We start from the raw sequence: 8,004 nt of genomic DNA on the forward strand, positions 1-8,004 counted from the left end.
TTCTCTTTGGAAAACTAGCTGGTCTATGGTTTATCTTACTTCTCTCAAAGAGCTACCAGTCTCCTCTTAAATGCTTACCATCAACATCTGTATTGTTTTTGAGAGTGCCCTTAGGTTTGAACTTCCCCACATCTTGTGGCAAGTAAAGCTAGTTCCTTTGGGGAGAATTTATAAGCCTTCCAAACTTATGGTCTGCCTCTCTCCCTGGGCAAATCCTCTGAGCCATCACTCAAAAACCAGGGCAGGAGCAGTGATCCACCTCTCTCAGAGTGACATCCAGCTTTAAGGACAGAATGCTGTATAGGGGCCAAGGCCTCTGGTCTTCTCTGCTTGTTTCTCCTGGTGTAGAATCTCCATCCTATGAACAAGCTGGGGCAATGATGATAGAGACCCCAGTGTTTTCAGTGTGCCATGCCTGAGGTAGAACCTCTGCTCTATGGATGGGATCTGGGTGGACGATGGGAGTCCCTAACCTCTCAACCACATTGCCTAGAAATTAGTCTCTGCAGCATGTAGCTAGATGGAGGAGGAGAGGGTCGGGAATAGATGAAAGTTAACAGTACAGGCCTGCTGTAGACCAAATCTTGCCCATGCCTTTCTTTCTAAATAGAGTTTTATTGAAACACATCCATGCCCACTCATTTACTATAATCTATGGCTGCTTTTCTACTAAAATGGCAGAGTTCAGTAGCTACAACACATACCCCATGGTCTGGAAACCCTAAAATATTTACTATCTAGTCCTTATAAAAAGTTTTCTAGAAGGCAGGATAGTAGGCATCCTTGGAGAGGTGGGTAGTAACTGGAACTACCATCTGAGGCACCTAGTCATGTTCTTCCTCTTGATCCCCATGCTACTTGCATGGTTGTGTTCACTTTGTAAACTTCAATGAGCTCACACTCATGATTTGCACACTTTTCTATATGTCTTTTAGCAGAAGTTTGCCCCTAAAATTCTCTCTTCTCCTTCAAGACACCCCCCTGACATGATAATTTAAGAATAAAAAGGTAAAAACCCACAAAGCCAAAGAGAAGGAAAGAGAATAACGGGTGTGAGATGTCATAGGAACTTCAGAATTTGGACAACAGACAAACATGAAGTGATTTAGTTTTCCTCTATTTGGCAACTGCTTGCAAAAGTGGGGCTCAGGGAGGGGAAAGCTCAGGAACTAAAGATGTCAAACACCTGTGAAGGCAGGGGTATATGGGGATAGGTTAAAATCAGAAGGAGTCGGTCTGTAAGATCTTGTCTGAGCGAAATGTCTTTGTTCTACTTTCAGCCTTGTGTGAGAGTTTGGCTGCTGTATAGAAATCTGGGTTGGAAATCAAAGTCACTATGGTAGTTAAACATAGATGCCTCTCCCAGCTCTCCCAGCTAGGTGACTGTCCCTCCCTCACAGGAAAAGGGAGGTTTCCATCTGGATAGGGTTACCAGATTTAGCCAGTAAAAAAAAAAAACAAAACAGGATGCCCAGCAGGGCGCAGTGGCTCATGCCTGTAATCCCAGCACTTTGGGAGGCCAAGGCAGGTGGATCATGAGGTCAGGAGTTTGAGACCAGCCTGGCCAACATGGTGAAACCCCGTCTCCACTAAAAATACAAAAAAATTAGCCAGGCATGGTGGCACACGCCTGTAATCCCAGTTACTTGGGAGGCTGAGGCAGAAAAATCGCTTGAACCAGGAGGTGGAGGTTGGAGTGAGCCAAGATTGCGCCATTGCCCTCCAGCCTGGGCGACAGAGCAAGACTCTGTCTCGAGAAAAACAAAAAACAAAAAACAAAAAAAAAAAAAAACAGGATGCCCAACTAAATCTGAATTTCAGATAAACAACAATTTCTTTTTTTAGTAAAAGTATATCCCAAATGTTGCAATGGGACATACTTATTCTAAAACTTTCTTTGTTGCTTATCTGAAATTCAAATTCAACCGGGGGTCTTTTGTTTTATCAGTAGGCAACCCTACATCTGGAGAAATGAACCAGGAGATGCTGTACGGGGCACTCAGGCCCAGCTGAAGGCAGGGCAGTGTTTGGGAGAGGGTGTGAGTGAAAGTGGAAACTCCAAGACTCCCCACTCAACTCCCAGACCACGGTAGCCAGGCCTGCACACCGCCCTCTACAGCTTCACTAAAGATTCCAGAGAGGAAAAGAGAAGACACACACACAAAGAACTGGCGATCAGAATGTCTTCAGACATCTCAACAGCACCAGCAAAGCTGTATGATGATGGGTGCTGACCTTAAAATTCTGAAGAAGAATGATTTCCAACCTAGATTTTATATGCAACCAAACTCTCACACAAGGCTGGAAGTAGAATAAAGACAATTCTGTCAACGAGATCTTAGGAAATTCTCTTCCCATGCACCATGCTTTAGGGTGCTATAGGGGAAGTGCTCCACCAAAACAGGGAATCCACCGAGAAAAAAGAAGACATGATGTCCAAGAAACAAGATTCAACACACAGGAAGAAAGAACATCCCTGGTGAAGAGAAGTCCCAGAACAGCATGTGGGCTGCGGGCATAGAGGGCACCAGTCCAGACAGGAGCCAAAGAAGCAAGAGAGGATCCAAAAATCAAATACACAAGAACAGACACACTTAGAGACAGCCTGATTGTTTTCACTATGTTGGGAGGTACTGTAGAGTTTTGTCAGAGAACATGGGAATAACTTAGTGACTGGTACTTACAAAGCCAAACAAATTAAAAAGTGAGTTATTAACTATAGGAGAAAAAAAGTTTAAAGAAGGAAATGTCAGTATAATATGCTATTTTGCTTCACTATGGGTAATCTGTACATAATCATAGTAACGTAAGCACTAAACACTGAATCAGCTGAGATTTGTGAGATATCTCTATTGGGATCATGGTAGGGTTGGGGGGACTGTGGGAAGGTGTTAGAAAACCAAGCTACTCTTCAATGGTAGGAAATCAGTAGATAATGTCTAAAGTTAGAAATCAATCAGTAGTAGTATATGCAGTGGTTACTTGGAGGTAAATACCAGAAGAAAAAATATAAGTGAGTTGATAATGACTGCATATGAGCATTGAAGGTGTGAAGTAAAAAGTTAGAGCACAGGATTGCTGCTTTTCATTTTAGGACACATTGATTTTTCAAGCCTTGTAAATGTATGAATTGCATAAAATTAAACTAAAATATAAAATCACTGACTTTATAGCATAATCCAAAACTAACTCAAGATTTTTCATAGACCTAAATGTGAGAGCTAAAACTAAACAAGTTCTAGAATATAAGATTGAAGAAAAGTCTTTGACACCTTGCTTAATGCAAACAAGGTGCAATTATAATGCAAGTTATAATGCAATCTTATAACAAAGATTTCTTAGATATGACACCAAAAGCACAATTCACATAAGAAAAAAATTGGACAAATTGGACATCAAAAGTTAAAACTTGTGCTCTTCAAAAGGCATTGTTTAGAAAATGAAAGAAAAGCCCAAGACTGAGAGAAATAATGATATATCATATATCTGATAAAGAATCTGTAACCAGAATATATAAAGAACTCTTAAAGCTCAATAATAAGACAACAAGCAGCTGGGCACTCACACCTGCAATTCCAGCACTTTGAGAGGCCAAGGCAGGAAGACTGCTTGAGGCCAGGAGTTTGAGACCAGCCTGGGCAACATAGGGAGATGCTGTCTCTACAAAAAGTAAAAAATAAAATTAGCTACACACAGCGGCCTGTGCCAGTAGTTCCAGCTACTCAGGAGGCTGAGGTGGGAGGATCACTTGAGCCCAGGAGTTGGAGGCTGCAGTTCTGGAGATGGATGGTGGTGATGGCTGCACAACAATGTGAATGCACTTAATGCCACAGAACTGTAGACCTGTTTTCTCTTTTGAGGCGGAGTCTCACTCTGTCACCCAGGCTGGAGTGCAGTGGCACAATCTCGGTTCACTGTAGCCTCCACCTCCTGGGTTCAAGCGATTCTCCTGCCTCAGCCTCTCGAGTAGCTGGGATTACAGGCGCCCACCACCACACTTGGCTAATTTTTGTACTTTTAGTAGAGATGGGGTTTCACCATGTTGGCCAGGCTGGTCTTGAACTCCTGACCTCAAAGTGATCTGCCCGCCTCAGCTTCCCAAAGTACTGGGATTATAGGCGTGAGCCACCGCACCCAGCCCCAATAGCCTATTTTTATGTTATGGGTATTTTACCACCAAAAAAAAGAAGAAAGTGAAAAACTAGAGAGGGGGCAGGGAGAGAGAGATTGAGAGAGAGACTCTGGAGGGAGGAAAAAACCAACAAAACAAAATGAGGCTTCTGGGCGTCATCCTAAACCTACTGAGTCAGGACTTTCTCCTCCTTTCCGTGCTGCCCTCACCAAGGCCCTTTTCCTGAAAACATACTAAAAAGCTGCTTGCCTGGAAATGCCCCAGGTGCTGGGGTGGTAGAAAAGAAGTGTAACAAAGCAGTGGCTATCGCCCTCCAGGTGCTTACGACCTGGCCAGGGAGATTCACAAACAAGGCAAGACACAGGAAGTAATGCAAGACAATACGCAGTTATGGACTTACACACGAGACCTGACCTCGCCATGGGAAAAAGTGCTACAGCTTCACAGAAGAGCCATGGGGAAGTCAGACCAGAGTCAGGCCTTGACCCAAAAGGATCTTCCCTGTTTGCGTCCGGGATGCCCCAGTCTCTGCATTAACATTTATTACAGACACCCAAAAAGGAGTTTAAATCTAATGTTGAAGAGAGCAAAGGTTAAATAAATAAATAAATAAGTGAATGGATGAATGAAGAGACAAGTATGGCAAAAATCAGACAAAAGCTGTAAAAGAAACCCAATGCCAGGAATTCAGAGTAGGGAAAGCGATCCCAGTGGTCAGGGATCAGGAAGGGCTCCATGGAGGAGGTGGCTTGTGAGCTAAGAATTGAAGGATTTCCATGTGTGGAAACAAGAAATTATCCCAGACAAAAGGAGCACCAGAAGCAAAGGATCAGAGGTCTATTCAGGGATTGTGGGGCAACCACAGAACCATACACACTGCAATCTTCTGGACCTCCTCTCTTAGACTGCATGGCTCTCTACGCTCAACTAGCAATCATCCTGCAAAATCCAGCTCACCCTTCCCTCTTCTCCAAGGTCTTCCTAATCCTCCTCTCCACCCTCTCCACAGTTCCCCTCCCCGCTTTCCCAAAGCACTTTGTTCCCATGACTGTTATAGCTTACCAGAGACTGCTGGTTGTCCCCAGATATCCAGTTTCTCCTAGTTCCAGAACCTGCCATTTTTTGACAGGCACATGGCTGCCTAGGATAAAGATTACATTTCTCAACCTCCCTTATGGCCAAGTGCACTAAGTTCTGGCAAAAGAGATGTGCGTGGGTGATATCCAGAGCACAAGGAACCACTGTGCCAGTCATCTCCTTTTCTTCCCTTCACTGGTGTGATGGTGAGCTGTTTTGGGCCACAAGAAGATAACACCTTAGGGGTGCCTTAGGGACACCTTAGGGCAACCTTAGGGATGGTGGTGCGACATTAGAAGGAGCTGCCTCATAATCATGGAGCTGCCATACCAACCCAAGATTTCTCATATCCAGACTGATGCCCAAGAAAGAAACTTCTATCTTGTCCAAGATACTATGATTTTGTTTTGTTTTTGACAAATCTTAATTGTATATATTTATAGGGTACAATGTGGTGTTTTGATATATGTACCCATTGTGGAATGGTTAAATCAAACTAATTAATATATTCATCACCTCACTTATTTTTTGTGGTGAGTATACATTAAAATTTACTTTCAGCAATTTTGAAATATACATTATTATTAACTATAGTCACCAACCTGTGCAATTTATCTCAAAAATTTATTCTTCCTGTCTAACTAAAACTTTGTACCCTTTGACCACATCTCCCCATTCCTTCCCCAGCCTCTGGCAACCAACCTTCTACTCTCTGCTTCTGTGAGTTTGACTTTTTTAGATTCCACATATACGTATCTTGGCTACTGTGAACTTACTTTTTTTATTTTTAAGACGGAGTCTTGCTCTGTCGCTCAGGCTGGAGCACAGTGGCATGATGTCAGGTCACTGCAACCTCTGCCTCCTGGGTTCAAGCGATCCTCCTGCCTCAGCCTCCCAAGTAGCTGGGATTACAGGCATGCACCACCACACCTGGCTACTTTTTGTATTTTTAGTAGAAGAAGGGGTTTTGCCATGTTAGCTAGGCTGGTCTTGAACTCCTGACCTCAAGTGATCCTCCCACCTTGGCCTCTCAAACATCTGGGATTACAGGCATCAGCCACCACACCTGGCCATGGCTATTGTGAATAGTGCTATAGTGAACATGGGAGTGCAGATATATCTTTTGCACATACTGACTTCATTTCCTTTGTATCTATACCCAGCAGTAGGACTGGTAGGTCATAGGGAGTTCTATTTTTAGTTTTTTGAGGAACTGCCATATTGTTTTTTGGGGTTTTTTTTTTTTTCTTTTTTTGAGATGGAGTTTCACTCCTGTTGCCCAGGCTTGAGTGCAATGGTGCGATCTCGGCTCACTGCAACCCCGCCTCCTGGGTTCAAGCAATTCTCCTGCTTCAGCCTCCCAAGTAGCTGGAATTACATGCACCTACCACCACGCCCGGCTAATTTTTGTATTTTTAGTAAAGACGGGGTTTCACCACATTGGCCAGGCTGGTCTTGAATTCCTGACCTCAGGTGATCTGCCCACCTTGGCCTCCTAAAGTGCTGAGGTGACAGGTGTGAGCCACTGCACCCGGCCTGCCATATTGTTTCTCATAATGGTCGTACTAATTTACATTCTCACCAACAATGTACAAGAGTTCCCTTTTCTCTTGTTGTCTTTTTGATAATATCATTTGAACAGATGTGAGGTAATATACTATTGTGGTTTTATTTGCATTTCCCTGACGATTAGTGATGTTGACCATTTTTTCATATACCTGTTGGCCATTTGTATGTCTTCTTTTAAGAAATGTCTATTCAGGTCCTGTGTCTTTTTTTTCCAGACAGGGTCTCTCTCTGTCACCCAGGATGGAGTATAGTGGCACAATTATGGCTCACTGCAGCCTCAGCCTCCCAAGTAGCTGGGACTACAGGTGCATGCCACCACACCTGGCTAATCATTTTATTATTTGTCAAGACAGTCTCGCTATGTTACCTAGGCTGGTCTCCAGCTGCTGGGCTCAAGTTATCCTCCCTCCTCTGCCTCCCAAAGTGCTGAGACTACAGGTGTGAGCCACCATGCACGGCCTTCTTTGCTCATTTTTAATAGAGTTATTTGTTTTCTTGCTATTGTGTTCCTTACACATTTTGAATATTAACCCCTTATCAGATATATGGTTTGCAAATATTTTCTCCCATTCCATAGGCTGTGTTTTCACTCTGATAATTGTTTCCTTTGCTGCGCAAAAGCTTGTTAGTTTCATATAATCCCATTTGTCGATTTTTGCTTTTGTTGCCTATGCTTCTGGGATCAAATCCAAAAAAAACCATTGCCTAGACCAGCATCATGAAGAATTTCTCCTATGTTTCTTCCAGTAGTTTTATAGTTTCAGGTCTTACATTTAAGTCTTCACTCCATTTGGGTTGATTTTTATATGTGGTGTGATAGGATCCAACTACCTTTTTCTACATGTGGATGTCCAATTGTCCTTCCCCATTGTGTGCACTTGGCACTTTGTCAAAGTCAACCAACCATTTATGCATGGGTTTATTTCTGTTAAGACACTATTATTTTGAGATTTAATTACCACTGGTATATCTTAATTCCTAGACTCATCACACTACACGGTAGCGGTGTGTCCACATTTCTTTCTCCTGTGCCAAGACGGGAGCTCCTCCATGGCCCACAGCCTCAGCACAATGCCTGGCCATTAAGACTCAGAAGCAGTCTCTCATACATCCTGTTAGCCCTTCCCAGCTTCTTCTAATGGCCAGATATTTTACATATATTATTCATGTCCTTCACCAAGTAATGACTGAATTACCTATGTGCTAGGCCAGAAGCCAAGTGTGCA

The sequence above is a fragment of the Homo sapiens genome, chromosome 3, assembly GCF_000001405.40.
Source record: "Homo sapiens chromosome 3, GRCh38.p14 Primary Assembly".
Classification (NCBI taxonomy): Eukaryota; Metazoa; Chordata; class Mammalia; order Primates; family Hominidae; genus Homo; species Homo sapiens.